This window comes from Homo sapiens, chromosome 5 (genome assembly GCF_000001405.40).
Source record: "Homo sapiens chromosome 5, GRCh38.p14 Primary Assembly".
Lineage (NCBI taxonomy): Eukaryota > Metazoa > Chordata > Mammalia > Primates > Hominidae > Homo > Homo sapiens.
In genome coordinates this window covers 124,130,578-124,149,877 of record NC_000005.10, presented here as the reverse complement: position 1 = coordinate 124,149,877, position 19,300 = coordinate 124,130,578, and the positions used below count along the sequence as shown (strand labels likewise).

Sequence of the window (19,300 nt, the reverse complement as noted above, 5' to 3'; positions counted from 1 at the left end):
GATTTGTGTATGTTAGTTTTGTACCCAGCAACATACTGAATTCATTTATCAGTTCTAGGAGCTTTTTGGATGAGTCTTTAGGGGTTTCTAGGTACATAATCACATCATAAGCAAACAGCAACAGTTTGACTTCCTCATTACTTATTTGGATGCCCTTTATCTCCTTCTCTTTTCTGATTGCTCTGGCTAGGACTTCCAGTATTATGTTGAATAGAAGTGGTGAAAGTGGACATCCTTGTCTTGTTCCGGTTCTCAGGGGGACTCCTTTCAACTTTTCCCTGTTCAGTATAATGTTGTCTTGCCATAAATGGCTTTTATTACTTTAAGGTGTGTCCCTTATTCTAATTTTGCTGAGGGTTTTAATCATAAAGAGATGCTGGAATATGGAGAAAAGATGACAGATAGGAGGCAGGACTAACTTGCAGCTTCTACTGAGACAGATAGAGCAGTGTGTGGAGACTCACATTGTAAACTTTTGCTTCAGGAACTACCACAGGTACATACCGGGAAAGCCAAGACAATCCACGGACCCTTGGAAGGAAGTGGTTTACCACTGCAGGCTCCATGAATCTGCTGAAAAACTATGAGTGCCCAAAATGTGAGGGGAAACATCCGTCCCTGAACACACATCCCCGTTCAAGAACCTATAGGTTCAGTTCATGGGAGAAGTATTTGACCTTACCTGGATCTGAGAAAAATTTAGAAAGCTGAGCAAAATATAGGGGTAGAGAAAGCAGCAGAAAGTACCCTGTGGACACTCTTGGTCCCCAGGGAAGTTATTCCTGACTGTCTCATAGGTGTTCTTGGGGAGGGCTGCCAGTGGCATTAGGGAAAGACCACAGGGAGAAGGAAACTTCCAGCTGAAATTTGTAATAATTTCAACCAAATGTGAGGTTTCCTGGACAGAATCCAAGGGAGGAGGCAAACAGGGTGTGCAGATATGAGTATGGAAACCAAGACAGGTGGGGAGGCCTGAGACCTGAAAGCCCTGCTTGCTTTCTTAGTGGGGAGGCTTATAGCCCAGAACATGTTCTCAGCCCTGCTCACTGGTTGCCTGGAAATAAACTCTGGGCTGTTGAAGGAGGCACCCTGGGAGTGAGACTGGCCTTTAGTGCTCTGTGGGAATTGGGTGAGGCCTGCCACTGCCAGCTTTCCCCCCGTTCCCTGGCAACCTGTATAACACAGCAGAGTTAGCCATAATCCCTCTGGGAACATAACTCCATTGGCCTGAGAACCATACACCCATCTAATACAATGGCCACAGCAAGCCCTGCTCAGACACGCCTAACTCTGACCCCATCTGATGATATTTCTCTACCTGCCTTAGTAGCTGAAAACAAAGGACATAATCTCTTAGAAGCTCTATGGCTGTGCCCACCATCTGAGAAATGCAAATACTTATCCAGATAACCCTAGAGCAAGCTGTATCCTCCCTATACTACATCAGCTGATGCTCTCTTGAAAGTGCCACCTCCTGGCTGGAGGCCACCCAACATAAAACCAGTGCACTAAACAAAACTATAACCAAGGACCCTCACAGGATCCACTTCACTTCCCTGCTACCTGCACTGGAGCAGGTGCTTGTATCCACAGCTGAGAGATCTGAAGGTGGATCACATCACAGGACTCTACAGACACTCCTCAGTACCAGCCTGGAGCCCAGTGACCCCAATGGCAGCTAGACCCAAAAGAGCAATAACAATTACTGCAATCCAGCTCTCAGGAAGGCTCATCCCTAGAGGAAGGGGGAGAGCACCACATCAAGGGAGCACTCCGTGGGACAAAATAATCTGAACAATAGCTGTTGAGGCCCAGATCTTCCATCTGACATAATCTACCCAAATGGGAAGAAACCAGAAAAACAATTCTGGTAATGACAATACAAGGTTGCTTAATACCCCCAGGAGATCATACTAGCTCACCAGCAATGGATCCAAACCATGAAGAAATCTTTGAACTGCCAGAAAAAGAATTCAGAAGTCCAAATTATTAAACTACTTAGGGAGACACGAGAGAAAGGTGAATACCAACTTTGAGAAATAAAAAAAAAGTTACAGAATATAGATGGAAAAATCACCAGAGAAATAGGTAGCAAAAATAAAAGACAATCACATCTTCTGGAAATGAAGGACATACTTAGGGAAATGCAAAATACACTGGAATGTCTCAGTAATAGGATTAAACAAGTAGAAGAAAGAACTTCAGGGCTCAACAACAAGGCTTTCGAGTTAACCCAATCCAACAAAGACAAAGAAAAAAGAATTTTAAAAAATGAAGAAAATCTTCAAGAACTTTGGGATTATGTTGAATAACCAAACCTAGGAATAATTGGTGTTCCCAAGGAAGAAGAGAAATCTAAAAGTCTGGAGAATCTATTTGAGGCAATAATCAAGGAAAACTTCCATGGCCTTGCTAGAGATTTAGACATCCAAATACAGGAAGCTCAAAGAACACTTGGGAAATTCATTTGCACAAAAAATCATCACCTAGGGACATAATCATCAGGTTATTTAAAGTCAAGACGAAGGAAAGAATCTTAAGACCTATGATGCAAAAGCATCTGGTAACCTATAAATGAAAGCTTTTCAGATTAAGAGCAGATTCCTCAGCAAAAGCCCTACAAGCTAGAAGAAACTGGGGCCCTATCTTAGCCTCCTTAAACAAAACAATCATCAGCTAAGAATTTTGTATCCAGCAAAACTAAGCTTCATAAATGAAGGAAAGATACAGTGTTTTTTAGACAAATACTGAGAGAATTCACCTCTACCACTACCAAGCCAGCACCACAAGAACTGCTAAAAGGAGCTCTAAATTGAAACAAATCCTCAAAATACAGCAAAATAGAATACTCCTAAGGCATAAATCTCATAGGACCTATAAAACAATAACACAATGAATAAAAAATAAGGTATTCAGGCAGCAACTAGCATAATGGACAGAATAGTACCTCACTTCTCAATACTATCGTGGAATGTAAATAGCCTAAAGGTTCCACTTAAATGATACAGAATGGCAGAATGGATAAGAATTAACTAAGTATCTGCTGTCTTCAAGAGACTCACCTAACACATAAGGACACACATAAACTTAAGGTAAAGGTGTGTAAAAAGATATTCCCTGCAAATGGGCACCAAAAGCAAGCAGGCCTAGCTATTGTTATATCAGACAAAACAGACTGTAAAGCAACAACAGTTAAAAAATACAAAGAGGGATGCTATATAATGATAAAAGGGCTAATTCAACAGTAAAATATGAGAATCCTAAATATACATGCACCCCTAACACTGGAGCTCCCAAATTTATAAAACAATTACTACTAGACCTACAAAATGAGATAGATGCCAACACAATAATAGTGGGGGACTTTAATACTCCACTGACAGCACTAGACAGATCATCAAGACAGAAACTCAACAAAGAAACAATGGACCTCAACTATACCCTACAGCAAATGGACTTAACAGATATTTACAGAACATTCTACCCAACAATTGCAAAATACACATTCTATTCATCAGCACATGGAACATTCTCCAAGATAGACCGTGTATGATAGGCCACAAAACAAGTCTCAACAAATTTAAGAAAATTGAAATTATATCAAGTACTCTCTCAGACCACAGTGGAATAAAATTGGAAATCAACTCCAAAGAGAACCTTCAAAACCATAAAAATACGTGGAAATTAAATAACCTGCTCTAGAATGATCACTGAGTCAACAATAAAATCAAGATGAAATTAAAAAATTATTTACACTGAATGATAATAGTGACACATCCTATCAAAACCTCTGAGATATAGCAAAAGCAGTGCTAAGAAGAAAGTTCACACCATTAAATGCCTACATCAAAAACTCTGAAAGAGCACAAATAAGACAAAGTAAAGTGACACCTCAAGGAAATACAGGAACAAGAACAAACCAAACCCAAACACAGCAGAAGAAAAGAAATAACAAAGATTAGAGCAGAACTAAAAGAAATTGAAACAAACAAAAAAATATAAAAGATAAATGAAATAAAAAGCTAGTTCTTTGAAAAGATAAACAAAATTGATAAACCATTAGCAAGATTAACCAAGAAAAGAAAAGATCCAAATAAGTTCAATTAGAACAAAATGGGAGATATTACAACTAATACCACAGAAATACAAAAGATCATTCAAGCCTACTGTCAATACTGTTATGCACACAAACTAGAAAACCCAGAGGAGACAGATAAATTCCTGGAAATATACAACTCTCCTACATTAAACCAGGAAGAAATAGGAACTCTGAACAGACCAATAACAAGTAGCAAGATTGAAATGGTGCTAAAAAAAATTGCCAACAGAAAAAAATCCAGGTCTAGACGGATTCACAGCAGAATTCTACCAGACATTCAAAGAAGGATTGGTACCAATCCTATTGACATTATTCCACAAGGTAGAGGGAACCCTCCCTAAATCATTCCATGAAGCCAGTATCACTCTAATACCAACATCAGGAAAGAACATAACAAACAAAGAAAACTACAGGCCAGCATCCCTGATGAACACAGATGCAAAAATCCTCAATAAAATGCTAGCTAACCAAATCCAACAGCACATCAAAAAGATAATCCACCATGATCAAGTGTACCAGGGATGCAGTGATGGTTTAACACATGCAAATCAGTAAATGTGATACACCACATAAACAGAATTAAAATAAAAAATCACAATCATCTCAATAGATGCAGAAAAAGAATTTGACAAAATCCAGAATCCCTTTATGATTAAAACCCTCAGTGTTGTGCAGTTTTCTGCATACAAGTCCTGTACATATTTTGTAAGATTTACACCTAGGAATTGTATTTGTTTGAATAATTTTATGTAGTGTTGTATGTTCATTTTTGGCGCCCACATGTTTATTGCTAGTATATAAAAATTCAATTGATGTTTATATATCTTGTATTCTGAGATCTGCTGAACTACCTTATTAGTTCTTGGAGTTTTGTTTTTATAGATTCCTTAGCATTTTCTATATAAATAAATCATGTCATCTACAAATAGGAACAGTTTAATATCTTTCATTTCAATTGATGCCTTATGTTTCCTTTTCTCATCTTCTTGCACTGGCTAGAAGGTCTAGCATTGTCTTGAATATGACTTCTGAAAGAAGACTTTTTTTTTTTTTTTGAGACAGGGTAACGTGGATTTGAACTTCTGGGCTCAAGTAATCTGCCTCAGCCTCCCAAGTAGCTAAAGTAGCTAGGACTAAAGGTGTGTGTGCCACTAGCCCAACTCATATGTGCTTTTGGCCTGATTTAGGGAGAAAGCATTTAATCTTTCACCATTAAGTGTAATATTAACTCTAAGTTTTTTGTAGATGTTATTATCAAGTTGAGGAAGATTTCCTCCATTTCCATTTCTTTCCTGAGAGTTTTAAAAATCATGAATAGGTGTTAAATTTTGTAAAATGCTTTTCTGCTGACTGATACCAACATGTGATTTTGTTTAGCCTGTTAATAAGGTGAATTACATTTATTTATTGACTGCTGAGTATTTAGCCACCTGTCTCTGGAATAAACTCTACTTGGTAATGGTGTATAATTTTTTATGAGTTGCTGAATTCTATTTGCTAAAATTTTTATTAAAGACTTTTGCCTCTTATTCATGAGGGATATTGGTCTGTAGTTTTCTGTTATTTGTACCATCATTGTTTATTTTTGACATTAAACTAATGTCATAAAATGGGAAGTATTTTCTTCTTTTCTGTTTTCTGGAGGAGATTTTATAACGCTGTTGTGAATTATTCTTTACACATTTGGTAAAATCCTTTAGTAAAAGTATCTGGGTCTGGAGATTTCCTTTTTGGGATAGTTTTAAATCAATATTGAATTCTTTAATAGTTACAGGGCTCTTCAGTCTACCTATTTCATATAAGGTGAATTGCGTTAGTTGTTCATAGTGTTCTTTTATTCTTCACTTTATGTCTGCAGGGTCTGTAGTAATATGTCCTGTTTCATTTCTGAAATTAACCAACATTTGCTTTTTCTCTTCTTTTTTCTTAGTCTTGCCAAAGATTTGTCAATTTTGTTGATCTTTTCAAAGAACCATCTCATTGTTTCATTGATGTTCTCTATTGTTTTTCTGTTTTCGATTTCACTGATTTCTCTTGTTTATTATTTTCCTCCTACTGCTTGGTTTGTGTTTATTTTATTCCCTTTTTTTTCTAGGTTCTTTAGGTGGGAATTCAGATTATTTTTGTTATTTCTTCTCTATCTAATGTATATATTTTATGCTGTACATTTCCCACTCAGCAGTGCTTTAGCTGTGCCCCACAAATTTTGATACATTGTATTTTCACTTTTATTTCTCAGTGTATTTTTAAAATTTCCCTTGAGTTTTTGTATTTGACCCACAGACTACTTTAAAATGTATTGTTTAGTTTTCAAGTACTTAGAGATTTTTCTGTTATCTTTCTGTTACTGATTTCCAGTTTATTCCATTGTGGTCAGAGAACACAATCTGGATAATTTCAATTCTTTTACATTCATGATTCAGGATATGGCATATCTTAGAATATATTATATGGACACTTGAAAACAATGTATTCTGCTCTTGTAGGGTGTGTGTTTCATAAATGTTGATTAGATTCTGTTGGTTGTTGGTGTTATTGAATTCTGTATAACTGTTGATTTTCCATGTAGCTGTTATATCAATTTTGAGAGAAAGTTATTGCAATCTTCAAATATAATTTTGGATTTATTTCTTCTTTCAGCTTTGTCAGTTTTACTTCATGTATTTTGCAGTTCTATTGTTTGGTGTAAATACATTTAAGATTGCTATGACTTTTTGGTGAATTGACACTTTTATCATGACATATAATCTCTGCAGCTGGTAATTTTCTTTGCTCTACAGGGTACTTTATTTGATATTACTATAACCACTCTTGCTTTTCTCTTGTTTGCATGATATGTCTTTTCCACCCTTTTATTTTCAACTGGTCAATATCATTATATTTGAAGGGGTTTCTTGTAGCATATAGTTGGGAGGAGTTGTTTTTAAAATCAGTGCTGCCTATCTCTGTCTTCTATTGATGTAGTAACCATTTAAATTTAATGTAATTATTGATATGTTAAGGCTCGATTCTGCCATTTTATATTTTGTTTTTTGTTTATTCTCTGCGTTTCACTTCTTTACTTTCTTCTTTCTGTTTTTATGTGGATTATATGCACATTTCTAAAGATTTTGATTTATTTATGCTTTTGAGTGCTTTTTTTATAGCTTTTGTGGTGGTTGTTCTAGGTGTTACAATATACATACATAACTTATTGCAGTCTACTGGTGTTGTCATTTTAACATTTCTAGTGAAGTATAGAATTATCACTGACCTTTATGCTCTTCTACCATCCCCTACTTATAATTGTCTTAAATGTTTTCTTTACATACATTTAGGACCACATCAGACACTGTTGATTTTTGTTTCAACCATAAAGCAAACTTTAGAAAACTCAAGAGAAGCAAAATCTCTTCTATTTACCCATATTTTTATCGTGTTCTCTCTTTCTTTCTGATGTTCCAAGCTTCTTTTTTTATGATTTCTTTTCTGTTTATTGAATTTTCTTTAGTCATTTTAGGGTAGGTCTGCTAGTGTCAAATTATCTTAGTTTTCTTCCGTGTGAGAACACTTGATTTTTCTCTTCTTTCCTATAAGATATTTTTACTGGGTGTAGGATTCTGTGTTGACAGTTCTGTTTTTTTCTCTTTCATCACTTGAAAACTGTTGTGCCACTTCTTTCTGGTTTCCATAAGTTCTAATGAGGAATCTGTTGTCATTTGAATATTTGCCCCTATAGGTAAGGTGTCAATTTTTTTTTTCTGGCTGCTTTCAAAAATTTTTTCTTTAATTTTCAGAAGTTGTTTTGGAACAGATTTCTTTGTGTTATCATGCTTGCCATTCACTTTGCATCTTGCAAGTGTATGTTCAAATGTTTTCCTAGATTTGGTAAGTTTTCAGCCATTTTTAATTTGAGCACTTTTTCAGCCCTGCCTTTTTTTCTCCTTTCTTTCTGGGACTCAATGACAGAAATTTAGATCTTTTGTTATAGTCCCACAGGTCACTAAGGCCCTCTTTATTTTTGTGTTTTAGTCCACTTCCTCTCTGCTGTCCAGATTGGGCAGTCTCTATAGTTCTGTCTTCCATTTCACAAATTCATTTTTACGTTCCTTTCATTATGCTGTTGAGCCCATTAACAGAGCTTTCCTTTCAATTACTGTAATTTTCAGTACTAAAATTCTAATTTTTAAATATATCTCCTATTTCTTTACTGAAACTTTCTATATACTGGGTGAAGCTTTCTATTTTTTCATTTTTTCAAGTCTGTTTTCTCAGGAAAAGGACTCTTGTCAGGGCTGCTTTAAAATCTTTGCCAGATAATTTTAGCATTCCTGTAATTTCAGCATAGTATCTATTGATTGTTTTTTTCATTCATTTTGAGATTGTTTTGGTTCTTGGCATGATGAATAATTTTCAATTGAAATCTGAATATTTTCATATTATATTATTAGATTCTAGAAATTATTTAAACCTTCTGTTTTCGGTAGCTTTCTTTGACACCACTCTGGCAGGGGAAGGGGCAATGCTGCTTAACTAGGATGGGGTGCAGGTATCTTGCTTCCCCCACTGGTCTTCACGACACTTCAGGGAAATGGGGATTTGCTGCCAGTTTGCAGTGTTAAAAGACCTGGCTCCAGTCTTGACCTTCTCTGATACTACCCCAACAAATATCTTGTGATACCCCATTAAAACCTCACAAAGGAAAAAATACTCACTGGTCCTTTGCTGGAATGGAAGGGGTGGGAATGCTGTTTTTTTCTGTGATCTCTGATTGAAGACAGCGATTGTTTTCTAAAAGTTTTTTGTCTTGCTATGCTGCCCTCATAGACCTTTGGTTAGAGACAGAAGGCTTCTGTTAAGGCTTATTTTTGCCTGCAGATGTTGATATTTTGGCTTTCCCATTTGTAGAGCACCAACTCTGGGCTATCTGAGGGAAACAGAAAACCCAGGGAACTCACCAACATATTCCTTGAGTCTTGACTTCCCTAGCTGGTTTGCCTTCTTCTCCCCACCTTCAGAGTCTTATGTTTGTTTTATCTATAATGTCCAGGGTTTTTAGTTGTATTTAGTGAGAGGAATTGAGAAAAGTCTGTGTCAGTTTTGATTGACTATGTTTCCTGTTATGGGTCATATTTTCCTGCTTCTTTGTATGCTTGGTCCTTTTTTATTGTATCCCAGACTTTGTGGTTTTCACCTTATTGGCTGCTGAATATTTTATATTCCTATACGTATTCTTAAGTTTTGTTCTGGGACTCATTTAAGTTATTTAGAAAACAGTTTCAGCCTTGTGGGTTCTGCTTTTAAGATATTTTAGGCAGAACCAGAATAGTATTCAGTCTAGGGCTAATTATTCTCCATGACTGAGAAAAGATCCTTTTGTGTATTCTACCCCAATGCACCATAAATCTTGTTGTTGTTTTTTTTGTTTTGTTTTGTTTTTTTCTTTTCATTCTGGCTCATGGGAACAGGAGGCACAATTCCCAGTCCTGTGTAAGTGCTGGGTACTTTTCCTTTTCATTCTTTTGAGTGTTTCTTTTCCCAGCCTCAGGCAGTTTCTTCACATGCATGTATAGATAGCACTCAGCTGTACACTCCAGGGGATGCTCTGCTGATCTCCAAAGTCCCATCTCTATGTATGTCTCTTCTGTCTAGCTCTCTGACTTGCAAACTCTATCCACTTTGGTCACAACTCAAGGACTTTACCAAGCTCTGTCTGTATTTCCTGTCCTTGCCTGGAAACTTTCTCCAGTCAGTTAACTATGGCAATCATAGGGCTTACCTTTTTGTATTCCATCTCCTTGAGATCACTGTTCTTCATTGACTGATGTCCTACTGAAAACTGTTTTATAATATATTTTTTGGTTATTTCAGGTGGTAGGGTAAATCTGGACCCTGTTACTCCTTTATGGTCAGAAGCTTAGTATCTGTTTTTGGTATCTACAAAATGTGTGACTGGAAAAAATCATCTCTCAGCCTGTTCCTAGCTCTATTATCCTATGATTCTGTAACTTGAAGTTGAAGTTTATGGAGCAGATAGGGTCACTGATCTCCCTTTCTGTATGTGGAACACTTAGTCACAGGACAGTCTTTTAAAAGCTAACACTTAAATAGACTTGCTAAGTGCTAGTTACTGTTCTAAGTCTACAATTCCTTATCTGCAACCCTAGGAGCCAATTTTGTATTTTCCTATTTTAGAAAGGTGTGTATACCAAATATAACCTTATATCTCAAGCTGAGTCTGAGGCAGCACTCTGTAATCAAATATATTTTCATATTTCTGTAGCAAAATATGAATATTAACACTAAGTGGGATGAATAAGGATTATACATAGTCTAATTTCAGACCAAACCAAGCTTTCCTGCCAAATAAGTTTGTCAGTTTTTGTCTCTAAAGGGGCACAAAAATCTTTTAGGTTTTCACTTCTTTGGTTTGAGAATTTTAAATAAGTGATAGTATATGTGTACTCATTTATTTAATCCTCACAATCAATCTGAAATAGGCAATATAATTATAGCCATTTTTAAAATGAGAGAAATGAAGCATAGAATGTTAAGTAACTTGGCCAAGGTCATACAGCCATCACAGGGTAGATCCAGGATTCAAATCCAGACAACCTGGCCTCAGAACCTGGCATCTTATCCATTGTACAACACTGGTTCTCCTTAAGGAGCCTCCAGCCAGGGCAATCCAGGGGGTCAAGCCTGACCTCTGGTACTTTTCATGAATGAAGTCTTCTCAGGGACTAGGCTGATTTTTATTAGAAGCTGCTCTCTGTGCTACCGTGATCTAAATAAATAGATGTACTTAGTTTGGATCCTAGGTAGATTTCTGCTTGGGTTATGGATGCTCCTGTGTTTTCCTCAGGTATGCATCAGGGTGCTTGGGGGTGTATTCTGATCTAAACCTGAGTCTGGTGGAATCTAAGTTCTATGTCTGGCATGCTGGATTATCTAGTAGCTGTCTAAAATGGAAGTGAGATATTTTAGGATAGGTTTTTATTCTACCAATATTTGAAAGTTGGCCTCTGGTTATCTCTGCTGAAGGCTCTTTTTGTCATTATTGAGGTCCAAAGTTGCCCAAGACTCCTCTTTGGATTCTTCAAATTCACTTTTGGTTGAACAAGTTGTGCCCTGCAAAGAACTTATGACTAATAAGGTAATTAGGGGCCAGAATCAAATCCATAGCTGTCCACCCTAATGGACAGAACTACATCTACTGAGAGGAAGGAAGGACTTGTTCTAGCACATCCACATGTGGCCCATGGGCTACCTATGGTCCCATCTTAAGTGTTCCTTAAACCTGTAATATAGCCTGAATTTTGTTCCCCCAAAATTCATATTGGAACCCCCAACTCCAATGTGACTGTATTTGGAGACAGGATCTATAAGGAAGTTATTAAGGTTAAATAAGTTCATAAGGATGGGATCCTAATCCAATAGAATACCTATACCTTATAAGAAGAGGAAAAGATATTAGCAAGCAAGCTCAGAGGGAGGGCCGTGTGAGGATACAGTGAGAAGGGAGCCAGGAAGACAGCCCTTACCAAAACCCAAATTTGCCAGCACCAGAACTTGGTAAAAATAAGTGTCTGTTGTTTAAGCCATTCAGTCTGTAGTATTTTGTTATGGCAGCCCAAGCTGACTAATACACCCTGCTCCCATGGAGGCAAGGTAGAATGACCCTGGCAAGGATTCTACAAAATATCTGAAGCCTGAGCGCCTAGCAGCTATAAATGTGGCAAACTGAGATAGCTCTTAAAATTATCCTGACTTTTCCTTATAATAGGTTGTACTAATTATTTAAATTCAGTTTATGTCTCTTTATTTTACACTAGTTTTTGTTTGTTTATTTATTTATTTATTTTTTCAAAAACCTAGCTAAACATCAGGAGGGCTCTCACATGTCATATTCCTAGAGACCTGTCTTCTTCACAAGGCTCTAGTATTGTGCCTAATCCACATGTAATACTACACATTATTAGCTACTGAAGAGAGAAGTAGAGAAAATGTGAGCAAGGTTAAAATCAATTTACTTTTGGAGGACTATTTAGACTTGAATTTAATATGTTCAGGGAAAAGGGATCTATCTTCATCTTTCAACACTTTAAATCAGATAAGAGGGCACATTTTGTTTTCATCACTGTTAACAAAACTGTAGCATGGACATTGGTTTTTATAACAATCCTTTTGCCATAATTTTATTCTTATAACTCATTTGCTTGAATTTAATCTTGTTCTTTTGAAATTTATTTAGCAAACATTTATTTCCTTTTGGTTCTGCCTATCTATAGATTTCTTCCATTAGGAAAATGTTTATAATCCTCTGTTCTACCCTCAAGGAACACATCTTTATCATAAAAAATACTGGAGTTTTCTTCCATCTGTGAGTTTGTGTATAAGGCTAGACCTATGAGAAGAGTCAGATGATGAGGGAATACAAGAGATGTTATTGTTATAAAGCTTTTCCTATCTTTTTCAGGCAGAATCATAATTCTCTACCAGCTGCTTATTTTAGAGTCATCTGGGTCTGGGGATGGTTCTGGACAAAAATACAAATTTGGAGACCCATCACTGGTTTGTAGGATCAGGTAAAAGTCCAAGAATTACTGATTTACAATTCAAATACCAGGAAGGTAATTGAACAAATGTCTTGTTTGACTTTATTTTTATTAATGCTAGATAAGATGGAACTATTTTTGTTTTATGAATAAACAAAGTATGTTCTTTGTTTTAAGACTGAGTTTTAGAAGTCTCTTAACTTCCTCCTGCATAATGAGTGCTGGAAAATATCCTTTACTGGCTCACCACTATTGACAATGACAAAGAAATGTGCTTTTTAATAATGTATTATCACGGTATGTGCAAGTGTTTGGAGGGCGGGGGAGCAAACAGTTTTCCCTTCCAGACAACAATGCCTTGCCATAACCTTGACATGATGCACATTAATTTTACATTATGCCTGGTAGTCAGAGAGAAAATTAAAGCTGCAGATATTATCTCCCCCAAAAGGGCTGATAACCTTCTGGCACAGGGCTCAGACATGCCAAGACTGTGCCTATATCATCCATCTCTTACTGCTCTTTTAGCCAGAATGTCAGCACTTGGATTGAGAATCCCTGACATATTCATCTCAGTGGCTTCCATTTTAATGAACAGTTAGCTTGCCTTTGGTTAGAAAACATTTTAGTAAGATCAGTGCTATGAAATCTGATTCTAACCTAAACCCTATGACTTTTTTCTACACAATTCCATATATATCTAAACTTTATTTTAACCTAGGAAGCATGCAGTGTTAGGAACCTGAGAAATTGTAATACCTATATTTCTAAAACTAAGCCTAAATAAATCAGCTTCATGAAAAAGAAAAATTGAGCAGCCTGCACTTCATTCACCAGAAGTCAAAATGTCTGTAGTTAAAAATAAAGTAAAATAGACAATTTGGTCACTCAAATCTAAGCCCAGATATTTGCTGAAAAATAGTAACAGATACATGGTTGTGCTAGGGTTCTCTAGAGGGACAGAACTAATAGCATAGATAAATATATAAAGGGGAGTTTATTAAGTATTAACTCACGTGATCATAAGGTCTCACAATAAGCCAACTGCAAGCTGAGGGGCAAGGAGAGCCAGTCTGAGTCCCAAAACTGAAGAACTTGGAGTCCGATGTTTGGGGGCAGGAAGCATCCAGCATGGGAGAAAGATGTAGGCTGGGAGGCTAGGCCAGGCTAGTCTTTTCGCATTTTTCTGCCTGCTTTATATCCTGGCCATGCTGGTGGCTGATTAGATGGTGCCCACTCAGATTAATGGTGGGTCTGCCTTTCCCAGCCCACTGACTCAAACGTTAATCTCCTTCGGACCCTCACAGACACATCCAGGAACAATACTTTGCATCCTTCAATCCAATCAAGTTGCCACTCAGTATTAACTATCACAATGGTAAAGGGAAGAGTTAATATTTTATAAAAACTGACCCCAAATAATTAGCAGTTAAGAAGATTATAGTGTTATGCAGTTTTCCACCAATTATTCAGGTAGCAAAAGTTTCTTTGAATATCTGCTAGTCAAAGTTCCACGTGAGGTATCAAGGATTTCTGAATGGAATGCGGCTTTACATTAAGATCCTAATAATAATTTCTCAGAATAAAAGATAAGTTAAAAAATGTAGATATTATGAAAAACATGTTTACTCATTCTAGTTTTGAGTTAACATATTACAAGAGCATTCCTTTTGTCTAGGTTTTCTTGTGTGTTGAATCTATTATAGACCTATACTGAATTGTTTTATAATCTCTCCAGATTATATATAATTATTTATAATCTATCCACATTATCAACATGGCAAAAAGAAATTTGGAACAAGTTTGTGAGCTCTTAGCCTGGGAACAGACAAAACGGCTCCAGCAAGAGAAACAGAAATGGTCTTCTCCTCAAAATGCATTTATCCTGTGTTTAGTTCAAGAGCCACTTCATAAAATAGAATTATTTATTTTTTCATGAAATAGAGTTCCTCTTCTTTACTTTTTTATTTAAAACTGATGAAGTTGTTTGTATCTATACTGGATGTGCCAGATGGAAAGGTTTACTCATTAGAGGCAGCTGTTTTAGCAAATTACCTCACTACAGCATAATGACAGAGTTACAGCAGACTATTGAATAAAATTATTTCTCTTCCCAGTGAGATCATGAAAACTAGAAGTAATTTCAACGCGACTTTTTTTATTTACTTTGGAAATGGTTCAGTTGGACACATGAGTGATAAGGTGAGGTATTTTTATTCATATTTCATTCAATATTTATATACATCAGTGGAAATACAGGATATAAATTTACAATTTGATTTCTCTTTCAAGTAATGGATTCATTATCTATGTGGATGATCTCATTAGTTCCTTAAGTATGAATGATTCTACTGGGGAAGATTTTTCCTTTGACAATATCTCATTTCAAATATATGTATGCCTTAAACATGATCATAGATGTATCTTTCATGCTGAAGTTCACAATTACAGCATTACTCTTGAGATTCTTATGAGGAGGAGCTCTCCCATTCAAGGTTTCCTTGCTGAGCAAAATCTTCTTAGTTCCTCAGGTAAATGTTCCTTAATAGAATGCACTAAAGTCCTACTTTATACTGAATTTCCACTATTGCACATAGAATTTTAACAAGGAGGAATAAATATATGTATTCATATGTACATATTAGACATAACAATTTATAAAATGCTCATATATGTGTATATATTTCTATTCTCATTTTATTCTAATAGCCTTTAACAATTTTTTTTTCCCCATTTAACAGAGGTGGACATTTCAAGTTCAATTGTGTTTGATGACTCATTAGGTTAAAGAAGCTGTCAGGTGGTAAAGTCACCCCAGGTAATTTTCAACAATGGTCAATATCTAACTTTATCTAGAGACACCCAATTTAAACTATAATACCAAAAAACACCCACCAGAAGTATAGAGACACTTTTAAAAAATTAACAGATATGCACATTATTGCTATGAGAACTATGATAATTACATGTATAAATTTTCATGGTTATGGTCCCTTTTGTCTTCCATAACACCTTGGGGGGTGTCCATGACCATATTATAAAGTTTAGTGGAAGGGCTGACACCTGGGTGCCATAACTGAACAATTATGCCGGCCTGTATCATGCACAGCAGGCTTTATCCCCACAGCTGTATGTGCTGAACCTTGGATACAAGAATACTATTATTCAGGGCTCATTGTTATTCTCATAAGTTCAACAACTACTGTTGAAATAATTTAGACTCTAACTTTAGTTACTTTCTATGGTGACATTCAACTGAAGAAAATTTTACAAACCATATTTTATGTGAAAACAAGTTTTATGTGATCTCTCTGCATATATAGAAGCTTCCTTTTTAACATGTTTTTATCCACGTGATCTTACCTTCTGTAAGAATATATACATATACATACACATATATATGCTATGGATTGAATGTTTGTGTCACTTTAATAGTCACATGTTAAACCCCCAATCCCCAATGTGATGGTATTGGAAAATGGGGCTTTTGGGAGGTAATTAGACCATGAAGGTGAAACCATCATGATGGAATTAGTAGCCTTATAGGAAGAGACAATAGTAAGATTGCCTCCTCTCACTCTCTACCATACAAGGAAAGCAAGAAGTGGGCCCTTCCCGGGACCTAACCATGCTGGCACCCTGATCTCAGATTTCTAGCCTCCAGAACTGTGAGAAAAAGATGTTTTTTTTTGTTTAAGCCAACCAGTCTATCTGGTATTCTTGTTGTAGTAGCCTGAGCTAAGGCTCTGTACATACATATATTTTAAATATATATAGAGATAGTATATAAAATAGTATGTATATATTCTATTTCTCACAGTTCTATATTAATACATATAATATATACTAAAATATATTTTCTGAATATATATTCTGTTTCTTAATATATATGTATTCAGAAAATATATTAGTATATAATATATAATACATATAATATATAATAAATACCTAGTTTGTGTGTATATATCAAGGTAGCAGGGGGAGAGAGACAGAGACAGAGGGAGAAAGAGACAGCCTGCCAGAAGATCATTAGCTAAGGGTATTAAAGTTCTATTTTCCTTTGACATCTTAATGGACTTTAATCTTTTGGGCTTCCATCCAGAGAAATGAAGGGTATTCTCCAGAAAGTGTGGAAACCCTGCCACTGCAGGCTAATCAGGTGTGTTGACACATCAGTGAGGAGCTGGCTCACAACACCTGGAGAAGCAAGCCATGGAGGTGGAGCAGAATCAAATGAGCCTCCCACAAGGCACAAAGATTCTCAGCAAGTCAGGACATGTTACACATGGAAATTCCTACTCACCCAAGACAGATGCCTATTGCTGTGTCTCTCTCTTCCCATACTTTCACATTGTCTTGAAATATAAGCAAGATGTGAGAGCCCACAGTGCTATGGTAGGAGCCATCTGCAGTGCCATGGTCACCTGTGTCAGTGGTGGAACAAAGAGGGAAAGATGGCTTCCACATCCAGTGGTGACTTGAGTGGAAAAAGAAAAAAAAGAGCTCCTATGCCTGCTGGCAGATGCTACTGATGGGACTATGAGCAATTAGAGGAGGTTTCACATTTACTCACAACTTGGAATTTCTAAGCAAATTTTCACAACGCAAGGCAGCCGTACATTCTGTGTACCTAACACTTTGTGCTTTCTCATCTTGCTTGATCATTCAGGAAGCAGGTGGTCCATTCTTTTGGCTCTAAATATTTTGCATGTGAAGGGCATAGGTAGGTGCACCACTTTGGAGATTGTTAGCTGTGTCTGGTTCCGGGTGTCAGTTAGGCACAAATTAGTAAGGCTGGAGGGGTTAAGAGTTGCAGAGAAGTCTGACGTGATGGATAAGTTAAGGAAGAGTCCTAAGAGGCCAGAAGTGATAGAGCCCTAAAAACCAGAATGGGCTGGTCATGGCATGGCAGAAGCTGACTTATTTTTTATCTCATACAGAATGGGTGTCTACTAGTTCAGTCTGTGCTTATTTATTAACAAAATTATTCACAGCAATTCTCAGAGTCCTTCATCAAATTCAGTCTGCTCTTGAATATTCAGAAGAGATTCTTTCTGAATAATGCACAATAACTTTCTTTTTTTTTCCGAGAGGCTCCAATGTGTCCACGCTTCTTTTTTCCCCCTTATTTTAGTTTAATATAGGGTTTTCTCAGATTTTTTTCCTATAATAGTTTACTATTTTCCTAAATCTTTCCATTTTGTCATCAAATTCAACTATTTCTCACCTCATTCATCTTACAGGTTGTTAATAAATATACCAGAGAATAATGGTCCTGCTATTGATGGATCCCAAGGGAGAATTCCTATTAATCACTTCAATCTTAGGGTGAGCCATTTATTCTTACTCTTTGTATTTTCCCCATTAATGAATGATTCCCCTTTCCATGTGCAGTTTTAAGTATTCACACTGTAGTAGTTTATTTTTATTATCTTCTTAGCATTTCTCATGAAACAGAGATCCCATAATTGATGTGTATCTTGGACTCTGAAACTCTGCCTGTGTATAATGAAGGGATTGGCCTGGATGACCTCCTTCCTCTATCATTCTAGAATCTCTCTTTGTCCCAACTTGAAACCAAACAGGTGCCAGGGTCTGTCGCAGAGAAGAATAATTAGCACATCCATTAACATGGGCCCTGTTAACACATCCAGTGTTGACTCTAATTACTGGTAGATTTTAACTGAGCTCTGCTGTCTATAAGTGACTGTTAGCAAATGATAGTATATTTGATTTGACATACATCATACGTACTGAATAGTAAGCTTCAGTCAACTTTTACACAAGTACTCGTAAAGAAGCTGAAGATTTTAAGCTAACAGATTAAAAGTGGGAACAAATGATATAAGTGCAAGAGCATGAAATTAAAGCAATTATTGTTGTTTTTGATGCTTCAAAATGTGGGATTTATATGTAGTCCTTTACTTTTTATAGTGTTTATGAAAGTGGTTCAATGTGTCTTCTTTTAAGAGATCATATATCCTAGTATTAGTAACATGAATCTATAGGCTTGTCAAATATATATGTTAATAAAAAAATTTAAAACCACTTTTTCTGCATCAATTCCAGAAAGTATATGTACATTTCTGCCATCACACGAAATCCGATTGTTGCCAGATGGCACAATCGGGTTCCGTGTGATGGCAATGCCATGCGTCTCCCCTGCAGAGAGGCTGCTGCTTGCTGAGCCCTGGTGTGATAAGGGGCATAAATCACAAATCGTGTCACCCTGGCCAAGAAACAAGACATCTCTCAGTACTACCTCCCATAAGCAGATGCCACAGAGACTGCCAGATTCAAAGTCACTCTTGCCCTCTATCTGAAACAGCAACCCTTTGAAGAGAGCCCCTGGTCCCATGTGTGTTTGCAGCTCCCTATTTATAATCTGCAGGTTATTCTAGCAACTAACAATATCATTTTGGTAGTTACTAAGAGTAATAAAGCACCCTCTCTGTCGTGATCTGCCTATTTTATGACACTGGCTGGCTGGTGTCTCATAGTTTAATTACTTTAAGTCAATCATGTACATTGTTATGTTGATACTACTATTACTACCAATAAGAAGCCTCAAGTATTGAGGCCTATGGGCTAAGGCACCATACGTTATTTCAATATTCCTAACAACCTTACAAGCAAAGTATTGTTATTACCATTACATGAACTT

At 36.5% G+C, this 19,300-nt stretch overlaps 2 long non-coding RNA genes across 2 annotated transcripts in view; both read left to right on the top strand.

Moving 5' to 3' along the window:
* Nucleotides 1-19,300, top strand: part of LINC01170 (long intergenic non-protein coding RNA 1170) — a 378,727-nt gene that overhangs the window by 288,643 nt on the left and 70,784 nt on the right. The window lies entirely within an intron of this gene.
* LOC101927397 (uncharacterized) lies at nt 12,560-18,684 on the top strand. The gene is made up of 4 exons (XR_246575.3): nt 12,560-12,666; nt 14,754-14,838; nt 15,378-15,454; nt 17,880-18,684. It is a non-coding gene; the product is annotated as an uncharacterized LOC101927397 (long non-coding RNA).